Source organism: Homo sapiens, chromosome 1 (genome assembly GCF_000001405.40).
Source record: "Homo sapiens chromosome 1, GRCh38.p14 Primary Assembly".
Classification (NCBI taxonomy): domain Eukaryota; kingdom Metazoa; phylum Chordata; class Mammalia; order Primates; family Hominidae; genus Homo; species Homo sapiens.
The window spans coordinates 28899982-28926302 of record NC_000001.11 but is presented as its reverse complement, the minus strand read 5'-3'; the positions used below and the strand labels follow the sequence as shown (position 1 = coordinate 28926302).

At 46.0% G+C, this 26321-nt stretch overlaps 1 protein-coding gene across 70 annotated transcripts in view, besides 2 other annotated features; it reads right to left on the bottom strand.

Annotated features, from left to right (window-relative positions):
* Window positions 1-26321, bottom strand: part of EPB41 (erythrocyte membrane protein band 4.1) — a 232942-nt gene that overhangs the window by 193739 nt on the left and 12882 nt on the right. For 58 of the 70 annotated variants that reach the window (XM_005245760.2, XM_005245753.2, NM_001376013.1 and 55 more), the window contains exon 1: window positions 11535-11734. The exons of the other annotated variants lie outside the window; for them this stretch is intronic. The gene's annotated coding sequence lies outside the window, so the exon portion shown is untranslated. Of the gene's footprint in view, window positions 1-11534; window positions 11735-26321 lie in introns of those variants that run through there. 70 annotated transcript variants of the gene reach the window in all.
* Window positions 10930-11089: an enhancer, noted in NCBI's record as "active region_608". NCBI's record gives its function as "activates an Ori minimal core promoter by ATAC-STARR-seq in GM12878 lymphoblastoid cells {active_cell/tissue: GM12878}" and the evidence as "EXISTENCE:reporter gene assay evidence [ECO:0000049][PMID:35858748]".
* Window positions 11310-11969: a silencer, noted in NCBI's record as "silent region_551". NCBI's record gives its function as "represses an Ori minimal core promoter by ATAC-STARR-seq in GM12878 lymphoblastoid cells {active_cell/tissue: GM12878}" and the evidence as "EXISTENCE:reporter gene assay evidence [ECO:0000049][PMID:35858748]".

Below are 26321 nucleotides of genomic sequence, written 5' to 3'. Positions count from 1 at the left end.
TATGTATTTGTATCATACCTACATTACAGAATGATTAGAAGTGAGGTGATATGGTTTGGCTCTGTAGCCCCACCCAGATCTCATCTTGAATTGTAATTTTTGTATTTTTTTTTTTTTTTAGTAGAGATGGGATTTCACCATGTTTGGCCAGGCTGGCCTCGAACTTCTGACTTCAGGTGATCCACCTGCCTCGGCCTCCCAAAGTGCTGGGATTACAGGTGTGAGCCACTGCATCTGGCCTATAATTTTTTTTTGAGACAAGGGTCTCTCTATGTTGCCCAGGCTAGTCTCAAACTCCTGGGCTCAAACAATCCTCCCACATCGGCCTCCCAAAATGCTGGGATTACAGGCATGAGCCCCATCTTTTATATTTTTGTGATCACATATATAAACAGAGTCCTGCTCACTTAACATGTACTAAATGAAGGATCGTGCCATTCCTCTGCTCAAAATCCTCCCAAGAACTCCCGTCTCCAAATAAAATGCGAAGTCATTAACACAGGCAATAAGGCACTACAATGATTTGCTCCTTCTCCTACCTATGACCTCTCTGAATTAAACTCCTGCTACTTTTCCCTAGATCATTTTGACCCAACATGCTGGATCAATGTTTCTCATACACACCAAACCCGCTTAACTTTTGTGCATTTTGTTCCTTCTGCCTGGGATGCTCTTCCCCAGATACCTGCACAGCTCACTGTCTTACTCCATTTAGGACTCTGCTCCAATGTCACCTTATCAGAAGTATCACCCTTATCTAAAATGTACACCCCACCTGCCTCACTGTCTCCCATTCTACTTTCCCTGATCCTCACTAAAATCTGATGTCTTATGTTCTATCCCTGATTTATACATTTATTATTTATCCCCTACCACTAAAATGTAAGCTCCAGGCTGGGTGTGGTGGCTCATGACTATAATCCCAACACTTTAGGAGGCCAAGGCAAGAGACTACTTGAGCCCAGGAGTTCAAGACCAAAATGGGCAACATATGGAGACCCCATCCCTACAAAAAATTTCATTTAAAAATTAGCCAGAATGGCCAGGCGCGGTGGCTCACGCCTGTAATCCCAGCATTTTGAGAGGCCGAGGTGGGCGGATCACAAGGTCAGGAGTTCGGGACCAGCCTGGCCAATATGGTGAAACCCTGCCTCTACTAAAAATAAAAAATTAGCCGGGCATGGTGGTGGGTGCTTGTAGTCCCAGCTACTCAGGAGGCTGAGGCGGGGGAAAAGCTTGAACCTGGGAGACGGAGGTTGCAGTGAGCCGAGATCGCGCTACTGCACTCCAGCCTGGGTGACAGAGCGAGACTCCATCTCAAAAAAAAAAAAAAAAAAAGTTAGCCAGGCATAGTGGTGTGTGCCTGTAGTCTCAGCTCCTCAGGAGGCTGAGGTGGGAGGACTGCTTGAGCCCAGGAGGTTGAGGCTGCAGTGAGCTGTGACCACACCACTGCACTCCAGCCTGGGTGACAGTGCAAGACCCTGTCCCAGAAAAAGAAATAAGCTGCACAAGAACAGATACCTCTATTTTATTCACTGCTATGTCCCAATGTACTTATGATAGTGCCTTGTAAATAGTGAACAATCAATAAGTATTTATTACATGAATAAGTGGTAGATGTTTTAGTTATCTATTACTTTACAATAAATTACCCTCCAAAACATGGTGGCTTAAAACAGCAAACATTTATTATTGCACAGTTTCTGTGGATGAAGAATCCAGGCATGACTTAGCTAGGTGACTCTGGCTTGGGGTCTTTTTTATTTTTTTTTTGAGATGTAGTCTCGCTCTGTCACCCAGAGCTGGAGTGCAGTGGCACGATCTCAGCTCACTACAACCGCCACCTCTCAGGATCAAGCGATTATCCTGCCTCAACCTCCCAAGTAGCTGGGACTACAGGTGCACACCACCACACCCAGGTAATTCTTCTATTTTTAGTAGAGACGGGGTTTCGCCATGTTGGCAAGGCAGGTCTCGAGTTCCTGACCTCAGGTGATCCACCCACCTTGGCCTCCCAAAGTGTTGGGATTACAGGCATGAGCCACGCACCCGGCCAGGGGCTTTCATGAAGTTGTAGTAAAGCTGTCTACTGCATTTGCATTCACCTCTAGGCTCAACTCTGCCTGGAGAATCTGCTTCCAAGATCACTCACACCGAAGATCTGCATCCAAGTTTACTGACAGACCTCGTTTTTAACCACATGGACATCACTACAGACTGCCTGAGTGTTCTCAGGATATGGTAGCTAGTGGTCCCAGGGAGAGGGAGAAAGCCAGAATCCCAAGAGAGAAGCCACAGTATTTTATAACCTAATCTTAGAAGTGACATCCCATCACTTTTGCTGTATTCTATTCAATAGCCCCCACTCAAGGGGAGGAAATTACACTAAGGGTATGCATACCAGGAGGGAGGGATAATTGGGGGCCATAATAAAGGCTGCCTACCACAGTACGCATGATAAAAATTTAAAAACATAAAACAAAAAAACTTGCCCTTTAGTTATATATTCTTTGGTATATTTATTTAAATATGATTCTATGATCATTATGCAATTATTCATCCCAATGCTAGTCTTTTCCATCTTACAAAATACCAAAGAGAATACATTAAATATTGAACATATCTTGTTAACCAGTGTCCATTAATGGTCATATTAGAGATAATACAACTAGCAAGGATAAGTCAACAAAAATAGCATCTGGAGAAAAAAAGACTTACTGGGTAAATCTTGCTAAGTAGATGACACTGACCTTTACTATTTAATCATTATAGGCATCATCTTTAGGAGACGGAATGGCACTTAATAAAAGATCAGCTTTTTATATTACAATTAAAGAAATAATAAAAATTCAAAGGTTACTTAGTAAGCTAGAGGATATATCAATCTACCGTTAAGAAATAAAAAGGTTGCCAAGCGCAGTGGCTCACACCTCTAATCCCAGCACTTTGGGAGGCCGAGGCGGGTAGATTACCTGAGGTCAGGAGTTCGAGACCAGCCTGACCAACATAGTGAAACCCTGTCTCTACTAAAATACAAAAATTAGCCAGGTGTGGTGGCACACGCCTGTAATCCCAGCTACTTGGGAGGCTGAGGCAGGAGAATCGCTTGAATCCGGGAGCTGAGATCCCATCACTGCACTCCAGCCTGGGTGACAGAGTGAGACTCCATCTCAAAAAAAAAAAAAAAAAAAGAAAAGAAAAGAAAGGAAAGAAGGAAGAAAAAGGTTTAAGGCTAATTACACATACCTGATTATCAGAATCAAACAGTGCATCACGGCTGAGTGTGTTGGCTCACACCTATAATCCCAACACTTTGGGAGGCCAAGTCAGGAGGATCTCTTGAGACCAGGCTGGGCAATATCATAAGATCATCTCAGCCTGGGCACAATGGCTCACACCTGTAATTCCAGCACTTTGGGAGGCCGAGGCAGGCGGATCATGAGGTCAGGAGTTTGAGACCAGCCTGGCCAATATGGTGAAACCCCGACTCTACTAAAAAATACAAAAATTAGCCGGGCATGGTAGCACACACCTATAGTCCCAGGTACTTGGGAGGCTGAGGCAGAAGAATTGCTTGAACCCGGGAGGCAGAGGTTGCAGTGAGCCGAGATCGCGCCACTGCACTACAGCCTGAGCAACAGAGTGAGACTCAATCTCGAAAAAAAAAAAAAAAAAATCCTGTCTCTAAGAAAAAATTTTAAAACTGGCGGGGCACGGTGGCATGCACCTGTAGTCCCAGCTACTCAGGAGGCTCAGGTGGGAGGACTGCTTGTGCCCGGGAGTTCAAGGTTAGAGTAAGCCATGATTGCCCCACTGCACTCCAGCCTGGGCAACAGAATGAGACAGAGGATAAAAAGATAACAATAAATCTTCAGAGAAGAAGATATCTTTAAAACCTCTTTCCTCTACCAGGCTTCTTATTCTTGGTCTCCTTTCCCTTAAGTAGCTCTCCTTTACTTTATTTACTTGGCAACAACTATTTCCAACCTAACACAATTATCTCAAGACTATCTAAATATAAAATATAATTTTATAGGCCAGGTGCGGTGGTTCATGCCTGTGATCTGAGCACTTTGGGAGGCCAAGGCGGGCGGACCAGGAGGTCAGGAGTTCGAAACCAGTCTAACCAACACGGTGAAACCCCGTGTCTACTAAAAATACAAAAATTAGCCAGGCGTGGTGGCACGTGCCTGTAATGCCAGCTACTTGGGAGGCTGAGGCAGGAGAATCGCTTCAACCTGGGAGGCAGAGGTTGCAGTGAGCCAAGATCATGCCATTGCACTCCAGCCTGGGTGACAGAGAGAGACTCCGTCTCAAAAAAAAAAAACAAAAAAAAAGTGTATATATATATATATATATATATAAAATTTCATAAATAAAATACTATTTACATTTTCACTGGAAAAACCACAAAGTATACTATGTGGATTTTCTTGCCTCCAAAAGCAATTGTGTTATTTCAAGTGTTGAGGATGCCAGAAAGCTTGAAGATTTAAAAATAACCTCACAAAGAGCTCATTTTCAACACCAGATGGAAAGAAATTACTCTAAAGACACATGTGTAGGAAGACAAATATACAATATCATATGATACCATGCAAAAGGTTTATATAATTACGTAATACCATCAAGACTGGAAAGACTGCAGGTAGTAAGCTGGCAACAGTGTCGATCCTCTGAATCATTAAAAAAAAGAGAAAAGGGCAAGAAACAGCAAGTGGGTGGTAGCAAAAAAAATTTTTTAAAGCCTTTACTTTAAGCTGCCTTCCATGTGTCCCTATCGCATGCTGAAATGGTAGGCAGGTAAAATTTGAGGGCTTAAATCCTTGGCACTCCTGAGAGTCCTGCCTGTGTCCATATGGCCAAAAACTGGGGAGGGAAGGGGGAATGGGATGAATTTCAACAATCTGTATGAAATGTATTATTAAGGTGAAACACTCTTCACTTGAATACATATAGAACTTCTAATTGGTAAATTAAAATATGTGCTTGGCATCTAAGTTAAAGCAGCATTTCTTTATAAGATAGGTTTAAAGATATGCCATTAAGATCCCATTGTGTTAAAATGATTTTAATAGGATTACTTAAGAGTATATGTAAGTACTAATAGCTGTATATCAATCACAACTAAACCTTGGCCTAATACTATGTATTCATAAATCACCAAAAATATACATTTCTATTACACGTATGGGTTACAGGCTTAAATTTAACCAATTCAAAACAACTCTATTAGCTAGATGTGATGGCACACACCTGTAGTCCCAGCTATTTAGGTGGCTGAGACAGGAGGATCACTTGAGCCCAGGGGTTCAACACCAACCTCAGCAACATAGAGAGACTCCCCATATAAATTTTTAAAAATTAAAATAGGCTGGGCGCCATGGCTCACACCTGTAATCCCAGCACTTTGGGAGGCCAAGGCAGGCAGATTTCTTGAGCCTAGGAGTTCAAGACCAGCCTGGTCAAGATGGCAAAACCCAGTCTCTAAAAATATAAAAAATCAGCCAGGTGTGGAGCCTGTAGCTCCAGCTACTCAGGAGGCTGAGGTGGGAAGATCACCTGAGCCTGGGAAGTTGAGGCTGTAATGAGCCATGATCGCACCACTGCACTCCAGCCTGGGTGACAGGAGTAAGACCCTGTCTCAAAAAATAAATAAATAAATAAATAAAAATAAAATAATCCTGTGCTCTAATATAGTTAAATCACGGGGAGTTTCTCACTTGAAACTTTTCTATCATAACTTTTTTATGATTTAATGCAGATATAACAAATATAATGCATGGGCAAAAGTTTTCTGAGTGAATATTAATGTAGAAAGTACCAAAACCTCAGTCTATGTTGTGTCCGGTGCTATGATTCAAACATATAGAGGGCCTACCAAAAGCTGATCTGCATTAGGGTGACTTTTGTGGAGGATGGAATCAGGTTGCATCTATAAATAACAATTAACTACAAGAGTACAGATTATATCCAATCTTATTTGATTATTTCCACCTATTTCCAAAAAAAGATGGAGGTGTTCCTGTCTCTATTAATAGATATTAGATAACAGAACAGAATTGTAGATATACATTGAATATAGAATTAGGTAATAGAAAATAATCTTAATAGAGCATCTATTGCTTCTTCCAATCTAATCAATATAAACTCACAGTCATATTTCTTATCCATTCCATCAGACAGATAATCTTGCCCCTTCCTACCCACCCTGCCAAAATTTCTTTAACCTTACCCAAGCTCTATTCCACATAGCTTAGAAACAATTTTAATCTCCACAAGCAGAGATCACCCTGAGAGTTGAGGGCCTAGATTAATTGGGTAGAACTGACTCAAAGAGTCATCAGCTACGGAAGAGGGAGAGCAGCAATTCAATAAACAATCACAGTTTAATCCACATAGATTTAACTTGGAGATAAGAGATAACTTGCAAAAAAGAGAACTGCTCTTAATTGCAATAATAAAATAATAAAAATAATAAAACAATAAATAATTTAAAAGCATGACGCCAGAATGTCTCTGGAATTTCTATATAGAAAGGACTTTTGGGCTGGATGCTGTGGCTCATGCCTGTAATCTCAGCACTCTCAGAGGCCAAGGCAGATGGATCACTTGAGATCAGGAGTTCAAGACCAGCCTGGCCAACATGGTGAAACCCCGTTTCTACCAAAGAATACAAAAATTAGCCGTGCATGCCTGTAGTCCCAGCTACTCAGGAGGCTGAGGCGGAAGAATCGCTTGAACCCGGGAGGCAGAGGTTGCAGTGAGCCGAGATCATGCCACTGCATTCCAGCCTAGGCAACAGAGCAAGACCCTGCCTCAAAAAAAAAAAAGAAAGAAAGGACTTTTAAGGATAGCAATTTGACTGGAAGGAGAGACAGAATATTTGGATATCAAGCTCCCAGTTCCTACCCAGATTGCATGTTTACTTAGGGTGACTTAGTGGGAAGCTGACGAAGCTAGCGGGTAGGGGATATTAAAGTCTCTTCAAGCTACTCCTTGAATTATACTGGCTGCTGTTCTCCAAAGTTCAAAGAGCTAGCCAATTTATTTTCAAATATTTTAAGTGGATACAATTCAATTTAAATAAAAAATCAGCAAAATAAGTATAAACAGACTTTCATCATAATCGGATTTTCCCAAAACCAATATTTGAAGCAAAGTGTCAGTAAGGTGGGTAGTTCTAAATGAGATCAGCACTCAATATAAAATATCAAAGTTCTCCTTTCTAACACCTCCAAGTTCTGAATACTCCTCACTGCTACAGCATTCTTCTTTATCTTTCTATGTATTCATTAAATAGCAGCAGAGTAAATCAAAATACTAATCTAACCCAGTGTGCACTCCAGAGTAAGTTATATTGCATTTGACTAAACACACCATGAACCCACTCTTAAAAAGGACGCACAGTAAAAGCCACCAGTGACATACCAAGAAACTTAAATGAACAACAAAAAATAACATACATTTGGCATCTGCCTCTCCTCTCCTCTAACTAAATGCTATGATAAATGCAATCAAGCAATTACTTTTTCTTTTTTCTCTTTGAGACAGAATTTCACTCTGTTGCCCAGGCTGGAATGCAGTGGTCTCAAACTCAAAGGCTCAAGTGATCCGTGGGCCTCGGCCTCCCAAAGTGCTGGGATTACAAGCATAAACCACTGCACCTAGCTAGCAATTACTTTTCAATAATTTTGGATCCTTCACATACATAAGGCCCATAACTGATTAATTCAGAGGCCATCTTTGGGGGCTTTATTTAGAGGAAAAAAACAAAGTTATTCATAAGAAAAGTTATTGGAATTATTGTTGTTTAGCTCACAAAATAAAGTGATTCCATGTTCAAGTAATTAAAGAAAAAATTCAAATATAGAGGTAGCAATGAATCCACATCTGAATATGCATTTAACCAAACACAAACTTGATGAAACTCAGAAAAATACAGGCCATTGGCTGGGTGTGGTGGTTCATGCCTGTAATCCCAGCACTTTGGGAGGCGGACGTGGGCAGATCACGAGGTCAAGAGATTGGAGACCATCCTGGCCAACATGGTGAAACCTCGTCTCTACTAAAAATACAAAAATTTAGCTGGGTGTGGTGGTGTGTGCCTGTAGTCCCAGCTACTCAGGAGGCTGAGACAGAAAAGACAAGAAAAACAAAAATACACTGGCAACACTTATGCTGTCCTGCCTCTTAGATAACAAGGAAACAGACTGTGGTCTACATCTATGCTCCTCTTGATTTCAGAACCAAACTCAGCCTCTCATGGCCACTGATATTCTAAAGTTATGAAATCAGATTAGCAATATGAAACTGGATTACTACATTAAAAAAAAGTAAGCAAACTCTATCATTCACACCAACAATTACACACCAGGCATGGTGGCTCATGTCTGTAATACAGACTAAGCTGGGCACAGTGACTCATGTCTGTAATCCCAGCACTTTTGGAAGCAGAGGTGAGACGATCATTTGAGCTCAGGAGTTTGAGACCAGCAGTTTGAGACCAGCCTGGGAAACAATAGCAGGACCCCGTGTTTTAAAAACGAAAAAAAAAAGCTGGGCATGGTGGTGCACGTCTGTAGTCCCAGCTGCTCAGGAGGCTCAGGTGGGAGAATCACTTGAACCCAGGAGTTCAAGGCGGCAGTGAGCCAGGATCATGCCACTGCCCTCCAGCTTGGGCAACAAGGTAAGATCCCTGTCTCTAAAAACATATGTATACAGGGCCAGGCACGGTGGCTCATGCCTGTAATCCCAGCACTTTGGAAGGCCGAGGCGGGTGGATCACGAGGTCAAGAAATCGAGACCATACTGACCAACATGGTGAAACCCCAACTCTACTAAAAATACAAAAGTTAGGTGGGCATGATGGCAAGCGCCTGTAATCCCAGCTACTTGGGAGCCTGAGCCAGGAGAATTGCTTAAATCCAGGAGGTGGAGGTTGCAGTGAGCTGAGATCATGCCACTGCACTCCAGCCTGTGTGACAGAGTAAGACTCCATCTCAAAATAAATAAATAAATACACACACACACATACACACACACACACACACAGAGAGAGAGATGGCAAAGCAAGGGTTATTACAGAGTAGTTCTATTTGGTTGCACAATACAAAAAATAAGGAGAATAAAGGTGGAAAGGTAGATTGTAGCCATATTGCATAAGAACTTACAAGACATTTGGTATAAAACACTTAATAAATGTTGGGAGAGGCCGGGTGAGGTGGCTCACATCTGTAATCCCAGCACTTTGGGAGGCCCAGGGAGGAGGATCTCTTGAGTCCAGGAATTCAAGACCACCCTAGGCAACATAGTGAGACTGTCTCTACAAAAAATAAAAAGACATTAGCCAAGCATGGGGGCACACGCCTATAGTCCCAGCTACTAGGGAGGCTGAGGCAGGAGGATCACTTGAGCCCAGGAGTTTAAGGCTGCAGTGAGCCGTGATCATGCCACTGCACTCCAGCCTGGGTGACAGAATGAGACCCTGTTTAAAAAAAAAAAAAATTGTTGGGAGAATTTTGGTAAAACCTACAGATTAAAAACATTTATTTCTAAGCCTGAATTCAAACATACAAGGAAAAATGTATAGTTTTGTTGGTAGAAGACAGAGGAATCAGAAGGTTGGCATTCTGAACTTATGTTCAACAATGAGTTCACCTTTTTTTGAGACAGTTTTGCTCTGTTGCCCAGGTTGAAGTGCAGTGGTGCAATCTCGGCTCACTGCAACCTCCGCCTCCTAGGTTCAAGCGATTCTCCTGCCTCCACCTACTGAGTAGGTGGGATTACAGGCACATGCCACCACACCCAGCTACTTTTTTGCATTTTTAGTACAGATGGGGTTTCACCATGCTGGCCAGGCTAGTCTCGAACTCCTGACCTCAAGTGATCCACCCGCCTTGGCCTCCCAAAGTGCTGGGATTACAGGCGTGAGCCACCGTGCCCGACATAGTTCACTTTTAATAGTGCCAAAGATATACTGTACTTGTTTCCCCAGGTGTATGAATAATATCTATATTTACCTTAATTATAAGCTTCTTATAGAAAGCACACTGAATTAACTACTTTGATTCTAAGGCAATCTGGTGTTCAGTTATTACATCTATTTTTGAATCTGCCATTTATTGAGTGCTTACTGTACGCCAGATAGCATGTACGCTACATGGATTATATTAATAACACCCCAAACCAAAAATTTTACAACTGGCGAAGAACTGATTACACTTTCAATTTACAGAAAAGGAAAATGAAGAGTACATCAAGTTTCCATAAAAAGTAGGGGTTAGTGCTACATTAACAAAACTGGGACGGGAAGAAACATATACGGGCTATATATCCTGCTTTTGATTAAAGGGATCAAACCAACTAAAATTTTTGCCAGGACTGAGAATACAGAAAACAACAATGAGCAACAGCATTGACTACAGTACATCCTCAAGAGAGTATAAATCCACTATAATAATATCCAAGACACAAGACACAACCATTTCTTGCAATTTTCCCTAAAAACAGAAGGGAAGAAAATAGCAGCTGTGAAATCACCCAGACTACAAAAAAAAAAAAAAAAAAAAGCATCTGAAAAAAAAAAAGGAAAAAGAAAAAACTATCTCCTAATGAACAACTACATGCCAAAAAACAAGTCTCCACAGACTAGTCATTTATGGCAGGGTACAGGGTACAGTTAAAGAAACAACAGGATGACAGTCGCTATCATGTGGCCAGAAACCAGTCCATCAGCAATCTGTTTCACGTGAGATCACTTTTTCTCAAGAGAATGCCTGTTCTTGGGGAGCATGACCTGTTTTGGCAAAACCTCCCCAGGAATAATGGCCTGCTGGTCAATCTCGGAGGGCGAGCCCAGACCCGGCCTCTCCACAGGTACAGCAGCCCAGCGAGCACGGAGGAAGATTTCCAAGCCGACAGATGCGCGAACTGAAAAAGGAGGTCACGACGCTGAGAGAATAGATTTAACCCTCTGCTCGCTGGGAACCCAGAAGACTAAGGGGGAACATGTTTTTCAATGATGCAGGCGTCGGTGGCGGGAAGGCCTGCGAAGTCTTGCCAGGGCTCCCTGCAGTCCTCAGATTCCGCCTGACTTCTGCAGACAGCCCAGCTCCCTCGCCAGGAAGAAATCGCTCCGCGGCTGCACGCAACACCTTCACCGTCTGAAACCTGCGATTCTCCGCATTTGGTTTCCTCCCGAGGCTCCTGCACACCGCACCGTGATTGACGCACCCGAGGGGACCGTCAAAAATACATCTCAAGCCTAACTTTCCAACACTCCCGCGACGCAACCCCTTCCCCTTTCCTCAGCGGCTCTGGCCCGCCCCTCGCTCCTCGGGCCGCGTCCCGGCTGGCGACTCGGCGTGCACACGAGGCTCCTCCGCGGGAGAGCCCGCGCCCCGGCCCGGGGCCTGTCGGGGGTTGCAGACAAAGAGGCTGCAGCGCCGCCGCGGCCGCCAGGACCGTCCCCACGGGGACAGCTCCACGCCCACCGCCCCGGCTCCCGCGCCGCCGCCGCCGCCTCGCCTCACCGGTGGCTCCGGGGCCGGGCTCCTGCGCCCGCCACTGCTGCAGCCCGACGAACAATGGCAGGAGGAGGCGCCGGCGTCCGAGGCTCGGGCCCTCTGCGGCTCGCGGGCCCGCCGGCTGCTGCTGGCTGACTGACTAAACGCACCAGCGGAGGGAGGGAGCGAGCGAGCGACCCTGGCGCGCGCCCTCCCGCCTTCCCTCTGCGAGGCGAGGCCAGCCCGGCCCGCAGCCCGCCCGCCGGCCCGCGCCCCTCCCCCTCAGTTCGCCACAACATTGTAGTAAATTTCTATTGGGCCGCGCCGGAGGGAAGGAGGGGGCCGGGCCCGCGGCCCGTCCGCCCATTGGCTGAGGCCAACTTCTAGCTCCCCTTGTTTCCCCCCTCCCCTAGGCCGGTAAGGAGAGGAGAGGGGAACGAAAAAGAGAGAGGAAAAGGCAAGGGGCTGGCCGCGTGTGCGCACGCGCAAGTCGAACCCGGTCTGGAGCCGGGGTGTTCCGGGATCCCGCAGCACCCACGTGGGGCATGAGGCAGCTAGAGCCCTGGACGGTGAGGCCCTTTCCTCCTTCCAAGTAAGAGGCCGAGATTTGGAAGCCTCAGGGAAGTAACTCGCGTAGAGGTTGTAGCCAGGCTACCCCAACTGACTCCCCCTAAACGCTTAGTGACCTCGGGTAAGTCACTCAGCTTCTCTGTACCTCAGTTTCCCCATCCACTAGTTTGACTGTCTCTAGGCGCCCTTCCAACCCTGACATTCGATGAGACTTTACCTCTCGTGCCAGCTGTGTAAGGCCTGAAATGGAAGCTAAGTGTTGAGACCACGCCAAGATTGAACCTGTCTTCTGCATTTAAGGATCTCCTAATTCCCCCCTGGCAATCTCAACATTATAAAGACCTAGCTTCCGAGGTCTGGTCTCCAGATGAACTGAGGGTTGCTCTGACAATTGCTTAGTGTGTCTTTATTTCCTTCCAGAAGTGTCAGAGACCCCTTGACCCTTCCTACTCCCTGCTAGGCTGGTCTGTGAACAGGCTTCGGACCCACAGTGCAGAAAGAAGGCTTTTGTTTTAAGCATGATACCTAGAAGGTAAGATAGGATCTGGTGTTCTATTTTAGAGATGAGGAAACTGAAGCAGAGAGACTTAAAACTGACAGGATAAGAAGCCAGGCCATCTGACAGCAGAGTCTGTAGATGCCAGCTAGACATTCCTGATATCTAATCACAGCCCCTTCACGATCCCAGCACAGCCTCTGGAAACAGATTGCCTGGGTTCAATTCTTAGTCTCCAGCCTTTTCTAATGGTTTGATTTTCATTTTTCTTTTATTTATTTATTTATTTATTTGAGACGGAGTCTCGCTCTGTCACCAGGCTGGAGTGCGGTGCCGGAATCTCGGCTCACTGCAACCTCTGCCTCCCGGGTTCAAGCGATTCTCCTGCCTCAGCCTCCCGAGTAGCTGGGACTACAGGCGTGTACCACCACGCCCAGCTAATTTTTGTATTTTTAGTAGAGACGGGGTTTCACCGTGTTAGTCTCGATCTCCTGACCTCGTGATCCGCCCTTCTCGGCCTCCCAAAGTGCTGGGATTACAGGCTTGAGCCACCGCGCCCGGCTGTGCCTCATTTTTCAACACCATAAAAGGGGATAATATGTCCAAGTAGCTGGGACTCCCACCTATAGTGGGAGGCTGAGGTGGGAGGATTGCTCAAGCACAGGAGTTCAAGGCCACAGTGAGCTAGGATCATGCCATTCCACTCCAGCTTGGGCAACAGAGCAAGACTCCATCCCTAAAAACAAAAACGAGGGTTGGGGGAGGGAGAAGGATAATAATAGTTCCCACCTCACAGAGTTACTGTAAGAATTAGGCCAGGCATGGTGGCTCATGCCTGTAATCCCAGAACTTTGGGAGGCTGAGGCAGGCGGATCACCTGAGGTCAGGAGTTCGAGACCAGCCTGGCCAAATGGTGAAACCCCATCTCTACTAAAAATACAAAACTTAGCTGGGCCTGGTGGCAGGCACCTGTAATCTCAGTTATTCTCGGAGGTTGAGGCAGGAGAATCACTTGAACCCAGGAGGTGGAGGTTGCAGAGAGCCGAGATCATGCCATTGAACTCCAGGTTGGGTGACAAGAGCAAGACTCCATCTCAAAAAAAAGAAAAAGGAAAACAGAATTAAATGAGTTAAAATATGTAAAGGACTTAGAGCAGTGCCTAGCTCATAGTAAGATCTATGTGTGTTAATTATTATTACTATTCAGAGACTAAAATGTGGACTGAGAGGTGTGGAACTGGCAAATATAATAATATATTTGTTAAGCATGCAATTGTTGTTAGCACTGAGCTGAGCACGTTATGTAAATTGTCCATTTGAAACATCATAAAACCCCTTGAAAACCACCTGACTATACCATCTAAAACACCCTCCACTCAAACACCCTTATCCTGCTTTAATTTGCTTCATAGCACTTACCCTACTTGACTTTCTACTATATATTTATTATTTATTGTGCCTCTCAAATAAATTGCTGTAATCTAGACCCACTAGACTGCAAGCTCAGGAAGGCAGGGACTGTATCTGTATTCATCTCCCAGAACAGTATACGCTCAATAAATATTTGTTGAATGAGTTAATGAACATCCTCATTTTACATATAAGGAAACTGAGTCTTAGTGAGGTCAGGTGACTTGGCCAGGGTCATTCTGTGTATGAGGGGTGAAGCACCTGTTTTTTTTTGAGAAGGGGTTTCGCTCTTTTTGCCCAGGCTGGAGTGCAATGGCACGATCTCGCCTCACCTCACTGCAACCTCTGCCTCCCAGGTTCAAGCGATTCTCCTGCCTCAGCCTCGTGAGTAGCTGGGATTACAGGCATGTGCACCACGCCTGGCTAATTTTGTATTGTTAATAGAGATGGGGTTTCTCCATGTTGGTCAGGCTGGTCTCGAACCCCCAGCCTCAGGTGATCCACCCACCTCAGCATCCCAAAGTGCTGGGATTACAGGCATGAGCCACCATGCCTGGCCACACCTGTTCTTAAATACTCTGGTCTCCTGCCTCAAGTCCTCAGGTTCAGCTGTGCTTTTTATTCAGAGTTCTAGTCCTACCACCTCTGTGCCTCAGGCTTCCTTCACCAATCAGACAGGAAAATCTGGTACCTTGAAGGATGAGTATAGAAGACCAATTACCAGTGGTTTACCATCTCCACCACCACCAAGTTATCCAGCAAATTCAGATTCATGAAAGCCCAGTATTCTCTATGCCATGAAGTGCTAGCCAATGGCACATCTAATTGGATGCAAAGAATATGTAGCATTTAATAATCCTTACTCTGCAAATAAGTAGAGGTCTCAGGCTAACAGCAAAAGGCTAGACACAAGGCAGGTATGAACTACTCTGAAATTCAGAGTGCCATGCAATAACACACCATAATCCATTGACTCAGGCTTTAGAATCTGAAAGACCTGAATTCCAGTGCTGGCTTTTAATTCTTAGCCTGGAGATGAAAGGGCTTTGTAAACTGTAAAGTACTATCCACACATGAGGAATTTTTGTTATTTTAGACACACATCTTCAGTTGTTAGGCTAAGTGCCCAATCTCTGAGTGTTGCCAGGCCTATCACATAGGAAGATGTGGGGGTATAAGTAATGCCTAATATGAAGGTGGAAAAACTACCTTTACTCCTGGGCCCATCTGCCCTCTCAGACTTCTGCAAACCAGGTATCCAGTCCCAGCTCACCCTGCAGAGACTGCCATCAGGTACCAAGGGTAAAGGTCCCAAGCACCGTCTCTGAGGCTAATTTCCAAGGCAGAAACAGCTCTGCTCCATGCTCACATCTGGGTGGCAGCTGTGCTATGCCCCAAGCCCCAGGATGGGGTCCCTAAGGACCATCTCTATCTCGCCTGCCAGCTGAGCCCACCATTACCTCCCCACCCCCTACCCCTTGTGTTCCTTCCTAGGGAATACAGGCCCCGCTAGCTGCCTGTTAGCCCCTGGAGCAGTCAAGGGCAGTAAGCAAAAGAGAAAAAGAAAAAAAAAGACAGTGTGAAAGGGTCTTAATCCTTCCCCACAGCAAACTGAGCCCAAGCAAAAGCAAACACCAGCTGCACATAAGAGGGTGAAATTAGATGGTGAAATTAGGTGGTGACCAGTGGGGAAGGCCAGGGAGTGTAGATGAGGCCTCAGATGACCTGGTAGAGATGAGACTGGAAGAAAGCGGGGAGGGGCGGGGAAACCATACCCAAATCTGGGACGTGGGCGGATTAGGGACACAGCTGGCCTGAAGCCCTGTGTCTGTTGTGGAGGGTGGCAAGAGATTGAAGAGGGCTTTGAAAAGCTGGGCCCACCAACAAAGTGTTCTGAACAGTACTGTTGAATGAAAACTGATGCTGGTACCAAAAGTATATGAAGAGTAGTGCTTGCCATCCTGCCTATGGCAGGATAAAAAATCACAGTTATTTTAGACTTGTAAACACAAATGATAAATCAAACAGGCTATAATGGGATGGGAATTACCATTCATACAGTGGGATGGGGATTAATTTTACTAGTAGTACTTGAATTGTTCATAGAAAATTTAGAAACACAAGAAAAAATGTAAGTCACTATAAAGCCACCAGTCAAAAATAACTACCATCAATATTTTGGGACCTTCCCTTCTAGTACCTTTTCTTATACGTACACTTTTTTTTTTTTTTGAGACAGTGGTCTCACTCTGTTACCCAGGCTGGTGTACAGTAGCATGACCACAGCTCACTGCAGCCTCGACCTCCTGGGCTCAAGTGATGTGATCCTCCCACCTCAGCCTCCCAGGTAGCTGGGACTACAGGCATGCCATCATGTCCACCAAATTTTTTAATTTTTTGGTACAGACAGGGTCTCATAGTGTTACCCACACTGGTCTCGAACTCCTGGTCTCAAGCATGAGACACCACACCCACCCTTATGTATACTATCTATCTATCTATCTATTGTATTTATCTATTTTTGAGACAAGATCTCACTCTGTCACCCAAGCTGGAGTACAGTGGCACAATCATGGCTCACAGCAGCCTTTCCCTGAGCTCCAGCAATCCTGCCTCCTCAGCCTCCTGAGTAGCTGGGACTACAGGTATATGCCACCACACCCAGATAATTTTTTATTTTATTGTTGGTAGAGATGAGGTCTCCCTATGTTGTGGAGACTAGTCTTGAACTCCTGGGCTCAAGCAGTCCTCCCACCTTGGCCTCACAGAGTGCTGGGATTACAAGCGTGAGCCACTGCACCCAGCCTTATTTTTATTTTTTTATTTATTTTATTATTTATTTATTTTTTCAAGATATAGGGTCTCACTCTGTTGCCCAGGCTGGAGTGCAGCTGTGCAATTATAACTCACTGTAGCTTTGAACTCATGGGCTCAAGCAAACCACCCACCTCATCCTCCCAAGTAGCTGGGATTACAAGCACAGGCCACTGTACCTAGCTTCTTATTTGTGTACTTTTCAGTGTACATATATTAAGTCATATGAAATTGCTGATTTTATAGGTTAAAAATGATCAAATGTGAACAATTTCATATGTCTCAACCTAACGCTTTTTAAAAATTTATACCATATTATTTTAGGACTGACTTTTTTTTTTTTTTTTTGAGACGGAGTCTTACTCCATAGCCCAGGATGAGTGCAATGGCCCAGTCTTGGCTCACTGCAACCTCTGCCTTCCAGAATCAAGAGATTCTCCTGCCTCAGCCTCCAAAGTAGCTGGGATTACAGGTGCCCGCCACCACGCCCAGCTAATTTTTTTTTTTTGTATTTTTAGTAGAGACATGTGGGATAGGCTAGTATTGAACTCCTGACCTCTGGTGATCCGCCTGCCTCGGCCTCCCAAAGTGCTGGGATTACAGTCATGAGCCACCAGGCTCAGCCTAAAACTGACTTTTTTCATTTAACAATATGTTGTGAACATTTGTATCATCATTTTTAACAAAGCTAGCAAGCGGATATATCATAATTTAGTTAATCCTACTATTGGACATTGAGTTTGTTTCCCATTTTTCTCTCTTAAAAATGATACTTGGGCCGGGCACAGTGGCTCACGCCTGTAATCCCAGCACTTTGGGAGGCCGAGGCGGGTGGATCACGAGGTCAGGAGTGCGAGACCAGCCTGACCAACATGGTGAAACCCTGTCTCTACTAAAAATATGAAAATTAGCCAGGCGTGGTGGCACACGCCTGTAATCCCAGCTGCTCAGGAGGCTGAGACAGGAGAATGGCTTGAACCCAGGAGGCAGAGGTTGCAGCGAGACGAGATCATGCCACTGCACTCCAGCTTGGGCAACAGGGCAAGACTCTATCTCAAAAAAAAATAATAATAATAATAATAATAACTACTTTTTTTTTTTTTTGAGACGGAGTCTCGCCCTGTAACCCAGGCTGGAGTGCAGTGGCACAATCTCGGCTTGCCGCGGCCTCTGCCTGCCAGGTTCAAGTGATTCTCCTGCCTCAGCCTCCCGAGCAGCTGGGATTACAGGCCCCCGCCGTCACACCCAGCTAATTTTCATGTGTTTCGTAGAGACGGGGCTTCTCTATCTTGGCCAGGCTGGTTTCGAACTCCTGACCTCAGGTGATCTGCCCGACTCGGCCTCCCAAAGTGCTAGGATTACAGGCGTGAGCCACCGTGCCCAGCCATAACAACTAGATTTATGAGGTATTTACTATGTGCCAGGCACACAGTAAGTACTTTTTAATCATTATTGCATTTAACTTCTTAACAGTAATACTTAGGCAATATTATTAGCCTCAAGTACAGTTGAAGAAACTACAGCTTAGATGAATTAGGGGCTGTGCAGGGGCTCACACCTATAATCCCAACACTTTGGGAGGCCAGGGTTGGAGGACTGCTTGAGGCCAGGAGTTCGAGATCAGTCTAGGCAACATAGTGAGACCTCATCTCTACAAAAAAAAAATTAAAATTTTTAAAAAATCAGCCAATCTGGCACTAGCTTTGGAGTCTAGGAAAAAAAAACAATAGCCAAGCATGGTGGCACCTGCCTGTGGTCCCAGCTACTCGAGAGACTGAGGTGGGAGGATCACTGGAGCCTGGGAGGTCTAGGTTGCAGTGAGCCATGATCGCACTACCACACTTCATCACTTTGTGACAGAGCAAGACCCTGTCTCAAAAAAGAAAAAAAAGGCCAGGCACAGTGGCTCACTTGTTGTCAAGGAATGCCTTAACAACCATCCACCAGGTCCACTTTTACAATTTCAATCTTCTTCCCTCTGGCCCTTGTTTCTTGGCATGTCTGCACAGCAACCCCAATGCATAGGGGTAATGTAATCCCAGCGCTTTGGGAGGCTGAGGGAGGAGGATCACTTGAGCCCAGGAGTTTGAGACCAGCCTGGGTAACGGTGAGACCCCATCTCTATTGAAAAAAAAAGAAGGCCGGGTGCAGTGGCTCATGCCTGTAATCCCAGCACTTTGGGAGGCCGAGGCAGGTGGATCACCTGAGGTAGGGAGTTCGAGACCAGCCCATGACCAACATGGGGAAACCATGTCTCTACTAAAAATACAAATATCAGCCGGGTGTGGTCGCGGGCACCTGTAATCCCAGCTACTTGGGAGGCTGAGTAACAAGAATCGCTTGAACCCAGGAGGCGGACGTTGCAGTGAGCCAAGATCGCACACTGTACTCCTGCCTGGGTGACAAGAGTGAGACTCCATCTCAAAAAAAAAAAAGGCCAGGCATGGTGGCTCACGCCTGTAATCCCAGCACTTTGGGAGGCAGAGGCAGGCAGATCATGAGGTCAGGAGATTGAGACCATCCTGGCTGACATGTTGAAACCCCGTCTCTACAAAAAAATTAGCTGGGCTTGGTGGCGGGTGCCTGTAGTCCCAGCTACCTACTCAGGAGGCTGAGGCAGGAGAATGGCGTGAACCCGTGAGGCAGAGCTTGCAGTGAGCTGAGATCGCACTACTGCACTCCAGCCTGGGCAACAGAGCGAGACTCCGTCTCAAAAAAAAAAAAAGAAAAAAAAAGAAAAGTTAGGTGATTTGCCTAACATCGCAGCTTAAACTAGGTCTGTCTGATGCCACTGTCCTCTACTATGTACTGCTTTCAGGAAAGCACTCTCAGGAAAGCACTTTGGAAATGATGTGAATGAGTAATATTAATATCTGTCCCAAGACCTCAGGGAAAGGCTGTCCTGACTACTTCTGATAATAGCCCTGGGACATTCAGGGAGAGACCCACTGATCTGGCCTCCCATGACCCTCTCCAACCCTATTCTCTTACCAGCTGGAATGAGCCTAATGACCCTGATCCAGCAAAGCCTCAGCTCACTCAGCCTTAACCCACTAATTCTCTCTTACTAGGGGAGGGAACCCTCAAGGCGTAGAGGGTTTTCCAAGAAACAGGCTCTGTGCCACCTACTAGCTGACAGTCTTCTAAAACTGGTAAAGTCAGCCTGGCCCAACCCTCACTTGACAGAGGGACAGGGCAGAAGGGGAGATATAAGGAAGCAGGGGTATTGGGGGCACAGAAATTGCCAGGTTTGACTTGCTCCAAGACCCTCCAAAGCTGCTACTATAGGACAGGTTCTGAGCCGGCCAGCCAGCATTTGACTAACCTCAGTTTCCAAGACTTCCGGTGACTGGGAGCACTTTAGTGGGGAAGAAATTGAGAAATTGGGGCCACGCACAGTGGCTCACGCCTATAATCCCAACACTTTGGGAGGCCGAGGGAGGTGGATCAGTTGAGGCCAGGAGTTCGAGACCAGCCTGGCCAACATGGCAAAACCATATCTCTACTAAAAATACATAAAATTAGCCAGGCATGGTGGTGGGCGCCTGTAGTACCAGCTACTCTGGAGGCTGAGGCAGGAGAATCACTTGAACCTGGGAGGCAGAGGTTTCAGAGAGCCGAGATCGCGCCACTGCACTCCAGCCTGGGCAACAGAGCAAGACTCCGTCTCAAAAAAAAAAAAAAAAAGAAAGAAAGAAAAAGAAAGAGAGAAGTCATAAGAGAGACTGCAAATAAGTTGCAGCCTTAGTTCCACAATAAATTTGCTGTATGACTCTAGGCAAGTCACCCACCCTTCATCAGCTCAGCTGCCACAACAAAATGCCATAGATTCGGTGGCTTAAACACAGAAATTTATTTTCTCACAGTTCTGGAGGCTGGAGTCAGAGATCAGGCATGGCCAGGTTCTGGTGAGGGTGCTCTTCCTGGCTGGCAGATGGTCACCTTCTTGCTGTGTCCTTACATGGTGGAGAGACAGCAAGCTTTCTGGTTTTTTGTTGTTTTTTTTTTTTGAGACATAGTCTTCCTCTGTCGCCCAGGCTGAGTGCAGTGGCGTGATCTCAGCTCACTGCAACCTCCACCTCCCGGGTTCAAGCGATTCTCCTGCCTCAGCTTCCCGAGTAGCTGGGATTACAGGCACGTACCACCAGGCCCGGCTGATTTTTGTATTTTTAGTAGAGAGGGGTTTTTGCCATGTTGGCCAGGCTGGTCTCAAACTCCCAACCTCAAGTGATCCACTTGCCTGGACCTCCCAAAGTGCTGGGATTCCAGACATGAGCCACTGCACCCAGCTGATGTCTCTTCTTTTTGAGACATAGTCTTGCTCTGTCGCCCCGGCTGGAGTGCAGTGGCGCAATCTCGCCTCACTGCAACCTCCATCTCCCGGGTTCTAGCTAGTCTCATGCCTCAGCCTCCCAAGTAGCTAGGATTACAGGCTCCCACCACCACGCCTGGCTAATTTTTTTTTTTTTTTTTTTGAGACAGAGTCTCGTTCTGTCGCCCAGGCTGGAGTGCAGTGGCATGATCTCGGCTCACTACAAGCTCCGCCTCCCAGGTTCATGCCATTCTCCTGCCTCAGCCTCCCAAGTAGCTGGGACTACAGGCGCCCCCCACCATGCCCAGCTAATTTTTTTGTATTTTTAGAGATGGGGTTTCACCGTGTTAGCCAGGATGGTCTCGATCTCCTGACCTTGTGATCCACCAGCCTTGGCCTCCCAAAATGCTGGGATCACAGGCATGAGCCACCACGGCTGGCCAATTTTTTGTATTTTTAGTAGAGACAAGGTTTTACCATGTTGGCTAGGCTGGCCTCAAACTCCTGACCTCAGGTAATCCACCCGCCTCCGCCTCCCAAAGTACTGGGATTACAGCCATGAGCCACCGCGCCTGGCCTTGGTGTCTCTTCTTATAAGGGCACTAATACTGTCATGAGGGCCCCACCCTCATAATCTCATCTTATCCTAATTACTTCCCTGATTAATTACTCCATTTCCAAATACCATTACCTTAGAGGTTAGAGCTTCAATATAAGAAAGGAAGAAGGGTCAAATGATGTGGAGAATGCAAAGGGTTCTGCAGATTACAAAGCCCCATACTACACTAAGTATGATTTTTATTTTAAATCTGCTAGCAACCAACCAGAAAGAATCCTCAACCTCAAGGTAAAAGCCTCCCTGGAAGTGGGGACACAGTGGTCCCACCTTTCTTCATCCATCACACATTTATTGGGCACTGGGGATCCTAGCATGAATGAGTCCAGTGGCTCTATAATAACAGCCATCATTATGATCCCATACTTGAGTGATGGCAAGAAAAAGTTTAAAAAAAAAAAAAAAAAAAGCTGGGCCGGGCAAGGTGACTCATGCCTGTAATCTCAACACTTTGGGAGGGTGAGGCAGATGGATCACAAGGTCAGGAGTTCGAGACCAGCCTGGCCAAGATGGTGAAACCCTGTCTCTACTGAAAATACAAAAATCAGCCGGGTGCAGTGGTGGGTGCCTGTAATCCCAGCTACTCGGGAGGCTGAGGCAGGAGAATCGCTTGAACCCGGGAGGTGGAGGTTGCAGTGAGCCAAGATCACACCACTGCACTCCAGCCTGGGCAACAGAGTGAGACTCTGTCTCAAAAAACAAACAAACAACAACAACAAAAAAACTGCACTTTTGAGGCAGGCCGACCTTGGTTCAAATCAGAACTTCACCACTGAGATGCTATGCGAGTCCAGGCAATTCACTTCCCCTCCCTTCCTTTTCTATAAAGTGGAGCTAATATGTGCCAACCATTACACCAAGTGTTTTATATACAATATGTCACTGAACCTTCACAACACCCCCTTGAGGAAGATATGACTATAATTTCCATTGTACAGATGAAGAAATAGAGTCTCAGGCCAGGCATGGTGGCTCATGCCTGTAATCCCAGCACTTTGGGAGGCTGAGGTGGGCAGATCACCTGAAGATCAGGAGTTCAAGACCAGCCTGGCCAGTGAAACCTTGTCTCTACTAAAAATATAAAAATTAGCCGGGTGTGGCAGTGGGCCCCTGTAGTCCCAGCTACTCAAGAGGCTGAGGCAGGAGAATCGCTTGCACCCAGGAGGCGGAGGTTGCAGTGAGCTGAGATCACACCACTGCACTCCAGCCTGGGCAGCAGAGTGAGACCTTAGCTCAAAAAAAAAAAAAAAAGAAAGAAAAGAAAAAGAAATAGAGTCTCAGATAAGTGAAAAACTTGTCCAAGATCACCCAGCTAGTAAGTATCAGAGTTAGAATTCAAATCCACATCTGCCTGGCCCTGTTGCTAGTATTCTTTTTACAGATTGCCTACATTTCCATGATGGTCATTATCATAATACCAGCAAAGATGTGCAGAGTACCAGCTAAGTGCCTAAGTACTTTAACTGCATTCTCTTATTTAATTCTCACAACAACCCTGTAGAGTGGGTACTATTTTAGCCCCATTTTATTGCTTTGGGAACTGACGTCAGAGAGGTGAAGTGATTTGCCCAGTGTCACACAGCTAGGAAGGGGTATGGTTGGGAAGCCAGCTGTGTGTGAGTCCAGAACCCAACTCCTTGCTCAAGACACTATCTTGCCTCTCTTCCCTAGTGAGGTCAAGTAGGCGTCTTTATCTCTGTTTGACAGGTGAGAAAGCTGAGGCCCAACAAGAGGCAGTGACATGCCTAAGAACACACAGCAAGTCAGTAGCTACACAGCCACTTAAGCTCAGGCTCCTGAGTCTCAAACCCAGGATAATTTCCTCCACTTATAATCTTGAGCATCAGAAAATGCCCCTGTCCACTGGATATTTGGAAACCCTACACCTAGCTCCCCTGAAGGTGTGACGAACCCCCCTGTACCAGGCCAGGCATAGAGACCCAGGGGTGTTGTGGGAAAACATTGCAGGATACTGTCTGGGGAAAATAGCAGTTGAGCTGGTGACCTATGTGCCCCTAGCTTTGGGCACCTCTGTCTTGGTCTCCCTAAATCATGGACCCCGAGCTGGGAAGGGGAAAGTTCCAGAGGAAGCTGCTCCAAGCCTGGCTCCCAGTGTCTAGCACAGCTCTCTGCTATGATTTCTGCTGAAAAACAAAAAGCTCAATCCTCTAGGCCTAAGTGCTAATTACCAATAATGACATAATAACCATTGCGGACCCAACAGCCAAACAGCCCCAACTAGAAATTCTGCAAAGCTCGGGCTCCAGAACAAAAGATTTGGGCACTCCAATTGAAACTGATGCCCTGGCAGAAAATATCAGAAGCAATCAGAAGCAAAAGAGCCTCAGGGTTGACCCAGCTAAAGTATGATCTGACAAATGGAAAGGATGATGACCGCTCACTTTTTCTCTCATTCACACATTTATTGAGATTCTACTGTGTGCTCAAAATATTCCTAGATCCAGAGAGAACAGGCTTCATATAGTCATCAGTTTACACCCCAAATATTTACTGAGCACTTCCTATGCACCACGCACTGTTCTAGGTACAAGGGATATAACGCTGAATAATATAGACAAAAATCACCATCATCACAGAGCTTACATTCCAATGCGAGGAGAGACAATAAACAAATAATAAAATACAGTATGTCAAAGAGTCATAAGTGCTATGGATAAAAATAAGCAGACAGTGCTAAGGTTAGAGGACAGAAAGGTGTTACAATTTTAAGTAAGAAGTCAGGAGGCCGGGTGCGGTGGCTCACACCTGTAATTCTAGTACTTTGGGAGGCTGAGGTGGGTGGATCACCAGAGGTCAGGAGTTCGAGACCAGCCTGGTCAACATGGCGAAACCCTGTCTCTACTAAAAATACAAAAATTAGATGGGCGTGGTGGCGGGTGCCTGTAATCCCAGCTACTCAGGAGGCTGAGACAGGAGAATCCCTTGAACCTGGGAGGCGGAGATTGCAGTGAGCCAAGATCGCACCACTGCACTCCAGCCTGGGCAACAGAGCAAGGCTCCATCTCAAAATAATAATAATAATAATATAAAAATAGGCCGAGTGCAGTGGCTCACGCCTGTAATCCCAACACTTTGGGAGGCTGAGGCTCGCGGATCATGAGGTCAAGAGATCGAGACCACCCTGGCCAACATGGTGAAACGCTGTCTCTACTAAAAATACAAAAATTAGCTGGACATGGTGGCGCACGCCTGTAGTCCCAGCTACTCAGGAGGCTGAGGCAGGAGAATCACTTGAACCCAGGAGGTGGAGGTTGTAGTGAGCCGAGATCATGCCACTGCACTCCAGCCTGGCGACAGAGCAAGACTCTGTCTCAAAAAGTAAATAAATAGCCGGGTGCAGTGGCTCACGCCTGTAATCCCAGCACTTTGGGAGGCCAAGGCGGGCGGATCACAAGGTCAGCAGATCGAGACTATCCTGGCTAACACAGTGAAACCCCATCTCTACTAAAAATACAAAAAATTAGCCGGGCTTGGTGGCAGGCACCTATAATCCCAGCTACTCAGGAGGCTGAGGCAGGAGAATGGCATGAACCCGGGAGGCGGAGTTTGCAGTGAGCTGAGATCTCGCCACTGCACTCCAGCCTGGGTAACAGAGTGAGATTCCGTCTCAAAATAAATAAATAAATAAAAAGATAGGAAAGGTCTTATTGAGAAGGTGACATTTAAACAAAAAATTTAAAGAGATGAGAGAACAAGCTACAAAAGTGTTTGGGGGTAGAGTGTTCTGGGCCAAAGGACTGGCAAGTGCAAAGTCCCTGGGGTGGAAGTGTGCTTGATGGACTTGCCTGGGATCATGCCTCTCGTCATTAACAGCTGAGGGGCCTAGTGGGAAAGGAATCAGACACAGACAGACTAGTGCACTTAAACCCTCTTTAGCCTCAGGACAGCCCGGGAGGTAACATTTTGCCCACTATTCTCACCATTTTACAAACAAAGGCATGAGACCAAGAGAAGAGAAGTAAATGATCCAGCCAGGCACAGTGGCTCATGCCTGTAATCCCAGCACTTTGGGAGGCTGAGAGGGGCAGATCACTTGAGGTCAGGAGTTCAAGACCAGCCTGGCCAACATGGTGAAACCCCATCTCTACTAAAAATACAAAAATTAGCCTAGCATGGTGGTGCATGCTTATATCCCCAGCTACTTGGGAGGCTGAGGTTGGAGGTTTGCTTGAACCTGGGAGGCAGAGGTTGCAGTAACCCGAGGTCATGCCACTGCACTCCAGCCTGGGTGATAGAAGGAGACTCCATCTCAAAAAAAAAAAAAAAGAAGAAGAAGTAAATGATCCCACATCACACAGCTAGAATAGGCAGCTCTGTCTGACTCCACCTTTCTGCTGCTAGTCTCTGGCCTATCTGTGGAAACTCTAAATATTTATTGAATGAATGAATAATTCAATCAATCCTGTACATTTCTCAAGTCCTTCCTTCTCAATGAGCTCTTTTATGACTTCTTATTATCTCTACCGATCATAGAATAACGATGACAAAAACAACAATAATAATTCCACCATGTCTGTCAGCTACGGACTGAGTACTTCATACAAATTATTTAATTTAGCCCTTAAATAATCCTAT